The sequence below is a fragment of the Homo sapiens genome, chromosome 9 (assembly GCF_000001405.40).
Source record: "Homo sapiens chromosome 9, GRCh38.p14 Primary Assembly".
Lineage (NCBI taxonomy): Eukaryota > Metazoa > Chordata > Mammalia > Primates > Hominidae > Homo > Homo sapiens.
The window spans coordinates 101,441,521-101,459,173 of record NC_000009.12 but is presented as its reverse complement, the minus strand read 5'-3'; the positions used below and the strand labels follow the sequence as shown (position 1 = coordinate 101,459,173).

At 40.9% G+C, this 17,653-nt stretch overlaps 1 long non-coding RNA gene across 1 annotated transcript, besides 2 other annotated features; it reads right to left on the bottom strand.

Annotated features, from left to right (window-relative positions):
- Positions 1-84: 84 nt before the first annotated feature.
- Positions 85-17,031, bottom strand: LOC105376184 (uncharacterized). Its single transcript, XR_001746862.2, has 4 exons — positions 16,317-17,031; positions 15,968-16,094; positions 3,718-3,796; positions 85-233 (listed from the first exon to the last, which is right to left on the bottom strand). It is a non-coding gene; the product is annotated as an uncharacterized LOC105376184 (long non-coding RNA).
- Positions 9,569-9,658: a silencer, noted in NCBI's record as "silent region_20142". NCBI's record gives its function as "represses an Ori minimal core promoter by ATAC-STARR-seq in GM12878 lymphoblastoid cells {active_cell/tissue: GM12878}" and the evidence as "EXISTENCE:reporter gene assay evidence [ECO:0000049][PMID:35858748]".
- Positions 9,869-10,058: a silencer, noted in NCBI's record as "silent region_20141". NCBI's record gives its function as "represses an Ori minimal core promoter by ATAC-STARR-seq in GM12878 lymphoblastoid cells {active_cell/tissue: GM12878}" and the evidence as "EXISTENCE:reporter gene assay evidence [ECO:0000049][PMID:35858748]".
- Positions 17,032-17,653: the final 622 nt, after the last annotated feature.

The window sequence follows — 17,653 nt, the reverse complement described above, 5'->3', positions numbered from 1 at the left end:
CTGATCTTAGCTCTCTGTAGGCTTCACAAGTCTTGCCTCCCCTTCTCTGAAAGAGGCACTGGCGCCTCTTACTGCCTTGGGCACACGTCTTTACAGTACTTACCGCATTGTGCTATTTGTTGCAGCTCCTCATTCCCTTTCACATGTGAGCCTCTTGACGGCAATCAGACTGTCATTAGGTTTTCTCTTCTATCCCTTAAAATGGTGTCTGGTGCAAAGCGGGCCCTCAGCAACTATGTTTGTTAGGGAAATAAAGCATTCAGGAGAAACAAAAAATATTAACATTCCTGGAATGTTAATATTTTGTCTTTCAGTGCTCAGTTATTTCTCCTGCTTTCTTTTCTACTTCTTTACTCCACCACATATTATAACTAGCAACTTACATAGCCCTTGTTCATGCAATATGACACTGAATCCTACAATTCTATGGGAATAGAATTTCCCTTTTACTCTTACTAGAAAAGAAAATGGACATTCAAACAGGTGAAGTGAGCTGCTTAAGGTCACATAGCCAGGAAGTATTAGAACAAAGAAACAAAGCCAGGTTTTTCTGACCAGATTTCATGATCAACTAGGTGACTTTACTGTGTTCCTTTGGATTTTTACCAGCTTTAGCCTTAGTTTGTCTGCAACCGCCACACATGCACACTGCATACACAGTATACACACATGCACACTGCACATAAATTAGCAAAATGAAGATAACTTCTTCTGGCTCTCCCTTCTTTCTGCTTTATAACATGATCACTGATTGTAAAGCATTCAAACAATATACTCATTCTCAAGCTTGATTGCACATTGAATCATCTGGGTAATTTAAAAAATTACTAGAACCTGGGTTCACTTCCAGTAGTTCTGACTTAATTTGTCTAGAGTGGGCTGAGCATTCAGATTTTTCATAGGTTGTTAATGTACTAAGTTGAGAACCACTGCAATACAGAAAACTGTAAATAATTTTTTAAAAATCTGTAATTCCTTGGCCAGGCGCAGTGGCTCATGCCTGTAATTGCAGCAATTTAGGAGGCCAAGGCGGGCAGATCACTTGAGGTCAGGAATTTGAGACCAGCCCAGCCAACATCGTGAAACCCTGTCTCTACTAAAACATACAAAAATTAGCCGGGCGTGGTAGTGCGCGCCTGTAATCCCAGCTACTCAGGAGGCTGAGGCAGGAGAATTGCTTGAACCTGGGAGACGGAGGTTGCAGTGAGCCGAGATCATGCCACTGCATTCCAGCCTGGGCGATAGAGCAAGACTCAGTCTCAAAAAAAATTCTGTAATTCCACCACTCTGAGATGATCACCATAGTTAATATTTTGGTGAATTTATCTTCTCTTTACATTGAAGCATACATCCAGTGTTACAAAAAAGGGATAACATGCAAGTTGTTTTGTAACTTAGTTTCTTTACCTGCACCCTTTTCCTCACCTGTATGTGTGTGTATGTCTGTATGTCTGTAGTGTGTATTCATATATACATTTTAATGGCTTTGTAGTATTTCACGGTATAAAGGTAATACAATCACTTAAAATCTCCTTCAGATAGATAGATAGATTGATAGATAAATTTTCTGTTAAAATCACTACTTCAGTAAACACCTTCGTATATACTATTATGCCACCAGGCTTGTTACAGCATCATTATTTATCTAATCTGATTTACATGTTATTACAACATTTTCTCCTCACCTAAATTAAGAAAAATGAGAGAGGATGCAAGAAAGAAAGAAAGAAAAAAGATATGAAAGGCAAGTCCAGGAAACAGAAAACCCATCTCTCTTACAAATTTTCTGAGCTTATTTTTGACACATATTGGAATGATGCCCTTTGTTTGAAACCAGGGACGACCCATTTCCTAACTCTGATTTCCTTGGAGCCCTTTTTCTGTAGCCCGGGGAGGGGTGAACATGAAGCAGCAAGCCAGGTAGATTCCAGAGGCAGGGTCTCAGCAGGGTGTCCATCAGCCACAAGAGGTCACTAGGGGGATTTTTAAAAACCCTCGCTTCCCTGAGCAAACTCTCCCAGGTGAATACACTAGTTTTCAGGGTGTGTTGGCAATGGTAGAAATGATGGGAACAGAGTGATCTGACAGGATACTAGAATTCTGAATTTATTGTAGACATTGATTTGCTGCAAGATGTAAAGAAAAACATTTCTTTTCCCAATCACACCACCATTGTTTTAGGAATTATTTTGCCATCATAGAAAAGGAGAGACAAGTGGTATGCTCATAGGCTTTGGAGCCATAAATACTGAAATCATATCTCAGCTCAGTATTACCTTCAGTAAGTTACATAAGCTTCCATTTCCTCATCTGGAAAATGGCCACAATGAATGATGATACCTAATAAATGAAATAAGCCTGCAAAACGCTTGGTACATGTTAAAAGCTAAATAAATATTAGTTGCTGTGTTTGATATTGTGTCTGTGTTTGATATTGGAGGAGAGATGAGTTTGGTTTGGGGCATTTTGAATTGGGCATGCTGTTGAAATATCAAAATAGAGACAATAGCAAGAGCAGAGGGAAACATTTGTGGTCATATACTGCTCATGGGGGTGTTAACTAAACATAGGGACATAGTCTCTTTGTTATGCAATTGGCAGTACGTTTTGAGAACTAAAAGTGTTTTCATAAGTCAGGATGCAAAGTGTATAAAAGGGACCTCAAAATACAACAGCTTAAACTAGGTCAAAATTTATTTCAATCTCATTTAACATCCAGTAGGCAGGCAGTCCAGGGCTCCGCCACCCAGAGCTGGCTTTATGAGGGTTTGTCTTGTGCAGTCACACAGAGCCCCACAATCAGAAGGGCCCAATGTGTAGCCTAATGCTCTGCTGCTGCCATCTTGAAATTCTTCATAATTTCATCTTTGAATTTGTATTTTGTAAGTCAAATCCAATGGGACAATGAAGCATGCACATAAACAGAGGAATACACAGTAGGTGCATCTGTCCTTCCTTTGTATGACACCTGTCATTCACAGTAGGTATATCATGTCATGCCACCATGTTTGAATGTAGTAACGGCAATGCTCTCTGACCACAGAATCCCAGTAGACCCACGATGCATGGGAGTTTGGGGAGACTCCAAGTGAGTACAAGTTAAGTGTGTTATGTCTATGACTAACAGGGGTCTGGGAGAGAGTACTGACAGATCCCAAAAGGCCAAGCATTCCATTCAAACTAGACTTGCTTCTGTTCCAGAAAGAAAGCAATGGCATTGTTAGAAACATGAACAACAAAGGAACCCCACCACATCCTTTATTACTTGTGCTACTTCCCTGTATCAGCCAGGAACTTACTTTGAAAATAACACAGAAAGGGAACAATAGGGTAACCTGTAGTTCCTTTTCCTGTCAGTCCTTCCTTACTCATCAGTAGGTAGAAGGCAAAGCATGTTGATAGAACATATTTTATCAAGCAGTGAAATAAAAACAGTTGAATTTTTTGTGTGTGCATTGTTCCTACTCTTCTGGTAAGAATGAACTACATATCCATGTATGAACCACAAAATACAAATTGTAATTTTTGTGATTCGACACGAGTTAAGTGCTCTTATATTTGCATTTAAAATGGGTGTGGCACAATATAAAAATGAAAATTTATACTGATTTAAACTTTTAGTCTTCTTTACTTAAAACAACATTAAAAAGTAACAAAAATCCTATAAGAAATTAAAATAAAGAGCTTGGAAGAAAGATAAACTTTATCTTTTATTACCTTTAATGGCACTGCTGTATTTTCCACTTGTGGATTCTGTGTCTGCTTCAGCTTTTGCTATCTTCTCACCAGTAAAGAGCTGGGGAAAAAACAACAATGACAGGGAATTGAGCATAATTCTTTTTGTTTGTTTGTTTGTTTTTGTTTTTCGAGACAGAGTCTCACTCTGTCACCCAGGCTGGAGTGTAGTGGCGCGATCTCTGCTCACTGCAAACTCGCCTCCTGTGTTCAAGCGATTCTCTTGCCTGAGCCTCCTGAGTAGCTGGGATTACAGGTGTGCACCATCACACCAGGCTAATTTTTGTATTTTTACTAGAGATGGGGTTTCACCGTGTTGGTCAGGCTGGTCTTGAACTCCTGACCTCGTGATCCTCCCGCCTCAGCCTCCCAAAGTGCTGGAATTACAGGCATGAGCCACCATGCCTGGCAAAGCATAATTCTTTAATGGGCCCACATCATTTCATTACACTCACATCCCACTAGCCAGACCTGTCACACAGGCACATCTAGCTGCCAGGCTGGCTATATAGAAATATCATTAACGACGTAGCTATAGACCCAGCTAAAACTCTACTACTTTAGAAGGGGAAAATGGATATTGGGGAACAATTTGCAGTTGGCCACAGCATTAATTCAATTTGATCTAATATTTCTGGTCCTAGAAGTTTATGAATGAAAAAAGCAGAGGTGTATAAAAAGCTTTACCTATAAGGTTATTCATTGCATCTTTATGTATAATAACAGCAAACAATTAGAAATAGGCAGACTTCCAATAACAGAAGTTGGTTTGTTACAAGAAAAACTTGGAACTTTAATGTTCCCTCCAAACTGAGAAGGAATGAAGAGACCAAAGAATGACTTGAACGAGTCCAGCTTAACGAGTAGATGAGTTTATTAGGACTTATGCACAGGGCACTCCTGGATGGTGGCGGGACAGCTCTCGAGATCCGCACCACCTCCCATCTCTAAACTGCTTTTAAGCTAATTTCTGGCTCTTTGCCTGCTGTGTTTGAGCAATGAGACTGTTTTTCTTGGTAGGTTCTCAGATACTCTCCGGGATATTTGGGTTTTCAGGGACACTTGTTTAGTTCTCTGCAGGGCATCATGACTGTGAGTCACTGCCCAGTCTTCAGGGTTCAGGCAGCAGACATATACCCTTAAGTATCCTGGTGGGGGACTTGTCACACTACCAGTCAAATAAATAAAGGCATATATATATGTATATATATATATCTTAGAATATTATAGACCTATTAAAAATTACATTCTCAGATATGGTTTTTCTATGATTATGTCATAGGAAAATGCTCAAGATGTAATGGAACACAAAAAAGCAGAATGCAAAACCCTACATATAATGCAATTTAGTGGCATTTTTTCAACTATGGGGGTAGTGTCTGGGTTTATCCAGGGATCAAAAGGACAAGACTACAGGCCTCACAGGGTAAATTTCTCATGACATATGGTTTGAACTACAGCCCTGCAGCATCATATCTGGATTTTATTTATAGGCTCAGAACAGATACATTTCTCAGAGTGAATCATCTTAACCAGGGTCATAAGATAAAAACATAGATCCAGAAGACTAGTTATTCATTTACAATGAGGTATAATAGTGACATAAACTGTATGTGTGTGTGTGTATATATGTGTGTGTGAGTGTGTGTGTGTGTATTAGTCCATTTTCACACTGCTGATAAAGACATACCCCAAACTGGGCAATTTACAGAAGAAAGAGGTTTATTGGACTTATATTTCTACATGGCTGGGGAGGCCTCACAATTATGGCAGAAGGTAAAAGGATGTCTCACATGGCAGCAGACAAGAGAAGAAAGAACTTGTGCAGAGAAATTCCCCTTTTTAAACTATCAGATCTTGTGAGACTTATTCACTGTCACAAGAACAGCATGCGAAAGACTTGCCCCCATGATTCAATTACCTCCTAACAGGTCCCTCCCACAACACATGGAAATTCAAGATGAGATTTGGGTGGGGATGCAGCCAAACCATATCATTCCACCCTGACCCCTCCCAAGTCTCATGTCCTCACATTTCAAAACCAATCATGCCTTCCCAACAGTCCTCCAAAGTCTTAACTCACTTCAGCATTAACTCAAAAGTCCATAGTTCAAAGTCTCATCTGAAACAAGGCAAATCTCTTCTGCCTATGAGCCTGTAAAATCAAAAGCAAGTTAGTTACTTCCTAGATACAATGGGGATACAGGCATTGGGTACATACAGCCATTCCAAACTGGCCAAAACATTGGGGCTACAGGCCCCATGCAAGTCCGAAATCCAGCAGGTCAGTCAAATCTTAAAGCTCCAAAATGATCTCCTTTGACTTCATGTCTCACATCTGGGTCAAACTAATGTAAGAGATGAGTTCCCATGGTCTTGGGCAACTCTGCCCCTGTAGCTTTGCAGGGTACAGCCTCCCTCCTGGCTGCCTTCATTGGCTGATGTTGAATGTCTGCAGTTTTTCCAGGCGCACTGTGCAAGCTGTCAGTGGATCTACCATTATGGGGTCTGGAGGATGGTGGCCCTTTCTCACAGCTCCACTTGAGCTGTCCAGTAGGGACTCTGTATGGGGACTCTGACCCCACATTTCCCTTCTGCACTGCCCTAGCAGAGGTTCTCCATGAGGGCCCCACCCCTGCCACAAACTTCTGCCTGGGCATCCAGGCATTTCTATACATCTTTTGAAATCTAGGCAGAGGTTCCCAAACCCCAATTCTTCACTTCTATGCACCTGCAGGCTCAACACCACATGGAAACTGCCAAGGCTTGTGGCTTCCAAAGTCTGAGGCAACAGCCCAAGCTGTACATTGTCCCCTTTTAGCCATGGATGGAGTGGCTAGAATGCAGGGTACCAAGTCCCTAGGCTGCACAGGGCAGGGGGGACCTGGACCCAGCCAATGAAACCAACTTTTCTTCCTAGGCCTCCCGACCTGTGATGGGAGGGGCTGCCGTGAAGACCTCTGACATGCCCTTGAGACATTTCCCCTTTGTCTTGGTGATTAACATTTGGCTCCTTGTTACTTATGCAAATTTCTGCAGCTGGCTTGAATTTCTCCTCAGAAAATGGGATTTTCTTTTCTATCACATTATCAGGCTGCAAATTTTCTGAACCTCTATGCCCTGTTTCCCTTTTAAAACCGAATGCCTTTAACATTACCCTAGTCACCTCTTGCATGCTTTGCTGCTTATAAATTTCTTCTGCCAGATACCCTAAATCATCTCTCTCAAGTTCAAAGTTCCATGAATCTCTAGGGCAGGGGAAAAATGCTGCTAGTCACTTTGCTAAAACATAACAAGAGTCACCTTTGCTCCAGTTCTCAAAAAGTTCTTCATGTCCATCTGAGACCACCTTAGCCTGGATTTCATTGTCCATATCATTACCAGCATTTTTGTCAAAGCCATTCGACAAGTCTCTAGGGAGTTCCACACTTTCCCACATTTTCTTGTCTTTTCTGCGCCCTCCAAAGTGTTCCAATCTCTGCCTGTTACCCAGTTCCAAAGTCATTTCCACATTTTCAGGTATGTTTTCAGCAGCGCCCCACTCTACTGGTATCAATTTACTGTATTAGTTCATTTTCACACTGCTGATAAAGACATACCCGAGACTGGGTAATTTATACAAGAAAGCGGTTTAATGGACTTACAGTTCCACGTGGCTGGAGACGCCTCACAATCATGGCAGAAGGCAAGGAGGAGCAAGTCACATCTTACATGGATGGCAGAAGGCAAACAGAGAGCTTGTGCAGGAAAACTGCCCCTTAGATAACCATCAGATATCATGAGACTTATTTGCACTATGAGAGCAGCATGGGAAAGACCTGCCCCCATGATTCAATTATCTCCCATCAGGTCCTTCCCACTTGTGGGAATTCAAGAGGAGATTTGGGGGGGGACACAGCCAAAACATATCTGTGTGTGTGTGTGTGTGTATATCTATGTACATATATATATCATCTCATGTATATGATATATAGAGATGATAATACAGCTTGGCCAAGGAAATTTCAGTCCAGCAAAAAGATAGATGGTTTTATTCTTAAGGAATTTTCCAAGAGGATTTTTTGAGAAAAGCAGCCAGAGTGAGACAACAACTACATTTCTTAGAGGGTCTTAAGTTCTCTCTGTAAAGAATTACAGACAAATGGAGGCATAGAGTTTCCATGTCCTCCAGCTGTTTTCAGGAGCCCTGGTGCAGCTTGTGAGCAGAAATACTAGTGTTGGCTTCAATTTCCTGTGGAAAAGAGATGTGATGTGGCACAGGGAAGGAGTACCGAAAATAATCTGTTCTAAAGACTTATCTGGGTGACCTTTGGAAGAGACGAAAGGGAGGGCGTGAGATAGTGAGAGACTCTGGAGTATTTATGGAGTGAAAAATCAAAGAAAAGTGGGTATAAAGAAGTGTTACTCTGTTTATGAATCTGATCTTTGTTAACGTCCCTTGAGAAACACAAATATGCTTTTAAATTATTTTTTCATTACTTTGATTACATGACTTTGCATGTGTTCATGGCAGGACTGAATTCCATGGGACCTTGGTTTATAATCAAGTAATATTCCAAGGATACAAATGATATAAAGTAATTAATGATATCAAAATCTTCATATTAGCAGTGAAAAACAAAAAAATTATTTGTAATGGCCCCAAAGACTTTGATAATACTCAACATCTGTTCTTTTTTTTTCTTTTTGACAGATAAAACATTTAAAATATATATAGCCACTGAAAAAAAATTATTAAGTACCCTTAAGACGGCAGTCTTCAAGCTGGGAGTGGTGGCCTGAGCCTGTAGTCCTAGCTACTCCAGAGCCTGATGCAAGAGGGTCACTCACAGGAGTTTGGGGCTGTAGTGCACAATGACTGTGTTTGTGAACAGCCACTGTACTCCAACCTGAGCAACATAGCAAGCCCCCATCTCTAAAAAAAAAAAAAACCAAAACAAAACAAAAACAAAAAAACCTGCATTCTTCTCAAAAATAATTTTGAGAGACCATATACACTTTCGCATTGTAAATGAGTATCTATGTTCTATTATAAATGTAAATAATTCCAAAGGATGTCATATCCAGTATGTTTTAACATTGGTGACCCTTTTAAGTACAAATCATGGAATCTTAAACAAGATAATGATTAAATACCCATTAAAGAAAATTACATGTTAAAGTTCAGAACATTTACATTATTCGGTTCCATATCCCTCACAGAACTTTATGTAAATGTAATATATTTTTAGGCTTGGAAGTTTTATTGATAACCATATCATACTTCTCCGCAACAAACTAAAAAACTTCCTTAGTTTTCTATAACCTTAGAGGTCTAATACTGCACTGTGCAACACTCTTGCCACTAGCAACACATGGCTAGTAAGCACTTGAAATGAGATCAGAGTGACTATGGTACTACATTTTTAATTATATTTAAGTTTTAAAATTAAAATGATTTTCTAATTTTCTCCATAGAGATCTTACCTATTTGCTAGGTTTGTTTATAAATATTTTATGCTGTTTGATGATGTTGGAAATGATTTTTATAAAGATGCATTTTCCGTTTGTTGTTGGAGATATTTATATATGTCTGAGCACCTGTTCTTTGCCTGATAATATGTTGCTTTAATACGCTAAGGTGACACATTTTATTGTACTTGTAAGGTTAGTTCAGCAGACTGTGCTGTTGCCCAGAATTATGGTTACTTATGAACTATACTTTTTAGTAAGCTGCCTGGAGACATGGTTTTTATGTTGCTATTTCTCTTTTCTGGAACATCCGTCTGGGATTTGCACAGGACAATTGTGCTTGCTCTTGGAAGGTCACATGGATTTGACTGTGGCTCTGCTCACTGATGCGCAGCAAGTGTTGGCTCCCACCGCCTCCAGAATCCAACTCACTGGACACCGCTGCCTCTTCGGCCACCAGGTACCCGTGCGCCGCCTTGTGACAGGTTTAGTGCGGGCATCGGGGACTAGCAAAGGATCAGTCCGTTCCCTGTGGAGCTCACGGTTCTGTGCGCTTCGTTTCTCCTTCGCAGCCGCTTGTTCTGACTGCCGGACACAGCGCCCGCCCTCTTCCCACGAGAGTGACCCGGTCGGGACAGGGTCCCCGCCCTAGCCCTGCACCCCCGTCCCGGCCTAAACAGATAGCCCACCTCGGCCCTCCATGCCCCACCCGGCTCTGACTGTGTCCCCGCCTCCAACCTGGGCCGCCAGCACCTCCTGCAGGCGCCGGGCGCCGCTGCCTCGCACCGGCCAGAGCAGCTGCCGCCACAGCGGTTCAGCTGTTATTAATGTTTTAAAATTGTCAGTCGCCTGCCTGCCCGCCCGCCCACCTGCCTTCTTTTCTTTTCTTTTCTTTTCTTCTCTTTTCTTTTCTTTTCTTTCTTTTCTTTTCTTTTCTTTTCTTTTCTTTTCTTTCTTTTCTTTTCTTTTCTTTCTTTCTTGCTTTCCTCTTTCTTTCTTCCTTCCTTCCTTCTTTCTTTCTTTCTTTTTCTTTCTTTCTTTCCTTCCTTCCCGTCTTTCTTCCTTTCTTTCAACTTTCTTTCTTCTTTCTCTCTCTTTCTTCCTTTCTTTCTTTTTCTTTCTCTCTCTTTCTTTTTCTTTCTTTCTTTCTTTCTTCTTTCTTGTTTGCTTGCCCTTTCTTTCTCTCCCTCGCTCTCTCCTTCCTTCCTTTGTATCTTTTTTCTTTCTTTTTTTGTTCTTCCCTGTTTGTTTGTTTGTTTGTTTTGAGACAGAGTCTCACTCCGTTGCCTAGACTGGAGTGCAATGGCGTGAGCTCGGCTCACTGCAGCCACACCTCCCGGGCTCAAGCGATTCTCCTGCCTCAGCCTCCAAGTAGCTGGGGCTACAGGCATGTGCCACCACGCCTGGCTAATTTTTGCATTTTTAGTAGAGACAGGGTTTCATCATGTTGCCCAGGCTGGTCTCAAACTTCTAGGCTCAAGCTTTCCTATAATAAAAAAATAGATTTTCCAACAGCATTAATAGATTAAAAATATAATAAGAAAATGTCCAATTTAACATAACAGAAATCTTCTTAAAACAAACTTAAGAAGTGCACAGGGCCAGTTGTCAAAAGAACTACAAACATTTAGTGAATTATAAAAATTAAGATGTGAATACAGAAGCATATTATTTTTCTTGATGGCAAGTTTCACTAACATATCAATTATTTCCTAATTTGTTTATAAGTTTAGTATAATTTCAATCAAAATATCTAATTGGGAACTTCATGAAATCATTCTAAACTGTGTTTAAAAAATTAAGAGGTAATAAGAGCAAGAAATATTGGAAGGAGATTATGAGGAGTATATTCTTTCAGATGTCTAAATGCATCATAAAGCTGCAATCAATAAAACAGTGTTAAGAATAGCACAACTATTCTTAATTTTCTAATCAGACGGGGATCTCTGAGCACTTCATAAAGAGCATAGCCTATGAAGAGATTACTGGACAACAGCCCAAGGGTAAGTTGAACAGACTTTTTTCTGATCATGACCTTCAGACAAATCAGATGGTGTCATACCAAAAGCACGCAAGTGCTATTCCTCCAAAATGATTCCAGTAGGAAAGGTGTAGGCACAAGCATATAAGGTTCTCATTCTTGATACCTCTGAGATCATTCAAACTAGATGGACTGCATCTTCTTCAAGCAATCCTCCCCTAATATTTCATACCAAAAGCACACAAGTGCTATTCCTCCAAAATGATTCCAGTAGGAAAGGTGTAGGCACAAGCATATAAGGTTCTCATTCTTGATACCTCTGAGATCATTCAAACTAGATGGACTGCATCTTCTTCAAGCAATCCTCCCCTAATATTTCTTTGCAGTGATTGTTTGCTAAATCATTAGGGAACTTAAGGCCAAGTTTATTTTCCTTTGCTGTGGAATAAAGATATTTGTGTGCATATATATATATATATATATGTAAGTGTGTGTGTGATTCATATATAAGATACATATGTATATAAACAATCAAGATAAGTGAAAGACAGGGCCTTTCAAAGGCCAAGGGACACACAGGCTACTTCCATACTTTTAAGTTTCCAGTAAATATAATAAAAGTGAAGAAATGGCAAAACCAGAGTTACCAAAACTTGTGGTATAAATTGGATTTATACGTTTAGTAAAGTAATGCTTTGAATCCATGCATGAAGCAATAACTGTGTGTAAAACTCATTTGGTGATAACATCCAAAATGAATTTTAGGCCTGATATGATTTGGATGTGTGACCCCTCCAGATTTCATGTTGAAATGTGATCTGCGATGCTGAAGGTGGGGCTAGGTGGGAAGTGTTAAATCATGGGGGTAGATCCCTCATGAATAGCTTAGCACCACTTCCTTGGTGATTAGTGAGTTCTCATTCAGCTAGTTCACTCAAGATCTGGTTATTTAAGAGTGTGGGACCTCCCCCTGCTCTCTCTTGCTCCCTCTTGCCATGTGGTATACTGGCTCCCCCTTTGCCTTCTATTATGACTAAAAAGCTTCCTGAGGCCCTCACCAGAAGCTGAGCTGATGTTGGTGCCATGCCTGTACAGCCTGCAGAACTGTCAGCTGAAATAAACCTCTTTTCTTTATAAATTACCCAGTCTCAGATATTCCTTTGTAGCAATTCCTTTTAGCTGTGTCCCCACTCAAATCTCATCTTGAATTGTAGTTCCCATAATCCCCATGTGTCATGGGAAAGACCTGGTAGGAGGTAATTGAATCATGGGGGCAGCTACCCCCATGCTGCTGTTCTCATGATAGTGAGTGCATTCCCATGAGATCTGATGGTTTTATAAGGGGCTTTTCCCCCTTTTGCTTGGCACTTCTCCTTGCTGCCATCATTTGAAGCAGGACGTGTTTGCTCTTCCTTCTGCCATGATTGTAAGTTTCCTGAGGCCTCCTCAGCCATGCTGAACTCTAAGTCAATTAAACTTCTTTTCTTTATAAATTACCCAGTCTTGGGTGTGTCTTTATTAGCAGCGTGAGAACAGACTAATACACAACCCAAACAGATTAACACAAAGCCTTTCTTGATTGTGAAGCTCAGACTCTCCCCTAGCATTGGTCTGATGAAAGTTAAGGAGCCAGACCATTCAGCCTCTACTCAGCAGACGACGACACACATGTGGAAGCTGATACAAGCATTGTTTTACTCCATTTCAAAAATTGTCTTTACTTTATTTCAAATGAATGCCTAAAACACCAGATACTTATAGTCTGTATATTACTAACCAAGTAGCTCTAGTCTTGGCTAGATTTCCTACATGCCTACGATAAAAACATTGATACTTACCTAATTTTAAGCAGTGTTATTCTTGATTTTAGCAAGCAAATGTGTAAGTGTTTTTCTTGTGTGGGCTTTGAGTTTTATAACCCAGTTTAAAGAAGGTGGATGTCTATTTAAAAAATAGCTTCAGGTTCAAAATCTCCTGTATCTTCCCTTGCCTTTCTTCCTGGCAATGATTAGCTAACAAGGCCAGTGTCTGTTCTGGTCATGTCTAGCTCAAGAAAACGAAATTACATCATCTGAGTATAAAGGAATTGTTGTCCTTTGTTAATTCTTCTCTGGTGTTTTCTTGTCTATTTCACCCCCAAAGTCACAGGGCAAAGGGGCAGGGGAGAAAACAGATATGTAGAAGGACTGCTTCTCATCACAGCTCAGCATCCAACTCCATCCTCCATTTCATACAAACACACTGTGAGTTCTATCTCGGAGCAGAAACACTCTACACATTCCCAACCTGTTTGCAGTTTCCTTATTTTGATTCTTCCCTGCAGTATCAGAGGAAAAGAGACTGCCTTTCCTCTGAACTCATTTATAGCATTCCCCTTTGCCTCTCCTGTGGCCTCACAACACAACCTTGGAATATACTTAAAAGAGAAACTAAAATTGTGATGCAATACCAAAAGTGCCGTTTAAAGAATATGGAACGTGTTAAAGGAAGAAAACGGTTTTTGTGAGTCAACTTGTTGCTAGCAGAGCAGATAACCCTGTACAATAGGCCAGTACATTGATCTGTTTGGAAATATAAAGTTTAAAGGTGAGTTGAAGACTGCTGCCCAGGGGAGAAAAAGTAACTCAGATCTCTGAGTGGAATTTGTGAGGAAATAGATGAGGAGGAGAGATGAGAAAGGAGAGAAGAGAAGCAGAGTTTGAAGCAGTGAATAGAACACACCATACATGGTATCTCATACAAGGTGTGGTATTTCAAAGGACTTCTACAAATAAGGATGACTAATGCTCAATTTTGTTTATTTTCTGTCTTCTTTTTCTCTTCCTATGATCAGTTGACAGGATTAAGGCTCAATTTTAAATTGATCTGTTGCCACCATGTAATTCCCATTTCTCTTTGTAAACTTTTAGTTATGTCTACATAAAGGCTTTTTGAAAGTGAAATTTTTGTTTGTTTGTTTGTTTGTTTTGGGGTTTTATGGAAATCAAATAAAGGGAACCAAATTTCCCATCATGGCACTGGCAGGGCTGGTACAAGGGTCTGCTGTGATGAGCCAGGTACTTGACTGAACTGAGTTAGTGAAATGAGAAGCTCTGAGCCAAGGTGACATTAATATTATAACTCCCTTGGGAAGTTCCCCCCAAATTAGGGGAAAGCATTGAACTTTCTGGAAGTTGTAGAATGAAGATTTGAGCCAGCCCTTTCTGTATCTAAAAAGACAAGGAGACCCCAGCTGAGATCTGAGCTATACATACCTATGTGTGATCCTGCTTTCTCTTCCCTATTAGACCTGAGTCAAAAGGGACCCTCACTTTTGCAGAATCTCTATAGGCAGCTTCCCTCATAGGTCCAGGATGGATAAGGGAGTACATGCATCTTGAGGAAGAAGATGTCAGAGACTATGCCTTTGGGGTTGGAGGAGGGGAGAGGGCACTGGAGAAATGACTGGCAAATTTACCTTCACACACTGTGAGCAAGAGGTAGCTGCTTGTTTTCTCTGACCACAACATCCCAGAATATAATTATTATATTTTTACTTATTCATTTACTTAACAGCTGTATGAGACATAATTTGCATATCATAAAATTCATCTATTTAAAGCACAAAATCCAATGGTCTTCAGCAGATTTACAAAGTCGAGCAAGCAGCTTCACTATCTAATTTTAGAAAAATGTTGTCATTCCAAAAGAAATCCAATGTACATTAGCAGTTACTCCCCATTCCCTCTGCCCTAACTGATCTAGGCAATACTAATATATTTTCTGTCTCTGTGGATTTGTATATTTTAGATATTGTATATAAATGGAATCATACAATATGTGAGTTTTTGTGCCTGGCTTTTCTCACTTAGCATAATGTGTTCAAGGTTCATCCATGTCGTATCTTGTATCAGTACGTCATTCCTCTTTATGACTCAATAATGTTCCATGGTATGGATATATCACATTTTGTTTATCCATTTGCCAGTTGATGAACATTTGGTTTGTTTCCTCTTTTTGGCTGTTATGGATGATACTGCTGTGCATACTAGGGTGTGTGTTTACGTGGATGTATGTTTTTATTTCTCTTGGGTAGATACCCAGGAGTGGAATTCCTGGGTCATATGGTAAAAAACATAATTATTTTTTAATAAATGACTGCCTTTCTATTCTTCCCATTTTTTTTAACTGACAGCTTTTCCATTCCTCCTTCGGATCAGAGGGTCTCTGTTCTCACTTGGCAAATGACCCAAAGAAAAGCCATTAAACGGAGTGGCAAAAAGAGCAGGCCCGCCCTGGGTCTGGGTAGGAAATAAATTGCAAGAGCATGAATACCCTCCTTTTCTCCCCTCCAAGGAAGCCAGGACATCTGCTGCCTGGTCATGATCACTGAGCATGCAGCCTCCTGCTGGAGTGCCAGCAATTGGACGAATTTTCCTGGGCTCCCTGCCACAGAGATAACTTGTTCCAGCCTCTTATTTACACCTCCATCTGGCACCCCAGTGGGGGATCTAGCACGCCTAAGAGTCAGCTGTGCCACGGAGGACAGGCGTGCTCTGGTGCAGGCCAGCCACACACCTTGAATGACATGGCGGAGGGGTGCTAACGAGGTCAGCTGTCTGCCTGCCTGGAAGGTTGGGTCTTCCAGCTGCCCGATCTGCTTCTAACTCAGGAAACATGGGTGCAAGGCCTTATCTCTTTATTTATCTTCCCTCCTTCATTCCTTTTTACACTTTCCACAAATAATATTGCCATTTTCTCTATTTTCCTCAAACGTGCTTCTACTTCTCTCCATCTTTTCTGAATGTAAGTTATACCCACCTTTGGTTTATGTAACAGGGGATGAAGTCTTTCTTTATTTGTAGCTCCCCACTGCCTTCTACAGGGGTACTCTTCTTGGATGCGAGTATACAACCTCTGAGATGAACTCAGGCTCCAGCTTCATTTTCTACATAATAAATGGAGAAATCTTTTGAGGGTGGAAGTGGGATGGAAGATTCCAGATGAAGGACACAGGAGATAATGAGATGAGATTGAATGCTGTGGGAGCAAAAATTTTGAAAGGACTTCTCTTTGGTGACAGAGGGAGAGAAGAATGTGGAGAATGTGGAAAGGAGAAAGGCATAGTGACAATGATCATCACAGGACGTGTTATTTATGTGGTACTTACCTTTGCTAGGTATATGCTTAACACTTTGATTCATTATTCAACCCAATCCTCCAACAATGTTGTAGGGTACGTTTTATTATTATTATTATTTTTGCTGAGGAGGAAACTGAAGTTCAAAAAGGTTAGAGAACTTTTCCAAAGTAACCCAGCCCAAAAGCTCTGGGCTGGAATTTGAAACAAGTTTGATCTGACTTCAAAGTCCACATTCTTAATAACTAAGTTATATTGGCACTCCAAGAAGGTTTATAGCTGAACCTTCTGAAGGGCAGAGAGTTGAATTTGTAGGTGACTGGATTAATAACCTGGGAAGCGGAGTGGCTCCATTCTTCACTTTGTGTGAGAGCAGGTGGCACTGAGGTGGCCACTGACAGGCCTGCCACCCGCACACGCTGCTGGCTGCTTGCCCCTTGCCAGTCTGGGACTTTTAGCCAGGCTTCCAGGAAAGTGTAGTTCTGGATTTGGTCAGGCTGGCATTCTTCATTCCTAAAGGGTGCTGAAGTGAGATGCAGGAAATCCAAATAGCTGGAGGAAAAGAGGCAGGATATTAGAACTACCTGTTTCTTCCATACATACCAGCATTCTGAAGATTTCTAGGTAAGAGTCAATAAATAATCCATACCAACAGCACTTCTCAACAGAAAACATTTCTTCTTCTTCTTCTTCTTCTTCTTCTTCTTCTTCTTCTTCTTCTTCTTCTTCTTCTTCTTCCTCTTCCTCTTCCTCTTCCTCTTCCTCTCCTTCTCCTTCTCCTTCTCCTTCTCCTTCTTCTTCTTCTTCTCCTTCTTCTTTTTGAGATGCAGTCTCGCTCTGTCACCCAAGCTGGAGTGCAGTCGCCTATCTCTGCTCACTGCAACCTCCGCCTCCCGGGTTCAAGCGATTCTCCTGCCTCAGCCCCCTGAGTAACTGGAAATACAGGCGCCCACCAACACACTCAACTAATTTTTGCATTTTTAGTAGAGATGCGTTTTCATTATATTGGCCAGGCTGATCCACCCGCCTTGGCCTCCCAAACGGCTGGGATTACAGGCATGAGCCACAGTGCCTGGCCTGAAAACATTTTATCTTCTAATCTATATTTATTATATTACTGTTTAAAATTATTTTCTTTTTTCTAGAGTAACCATATATCTCAAAAACACGCAATTTGGGCAGCAAAGACCACAGAATAGCACAGCTAGAAGAGACCCCCATTTTGCTGTATAGATAAGAATTCAAAGCCCTGGTTGGCTTAAGAGTCATAGATCTGTGTTTCAGTCCCTACACTGCTGCTTACTAATGGTGGGACCTTGGGGAAGATACCAGATCATCTCCCCCCTTTCCAAAACAATGCCTATGCT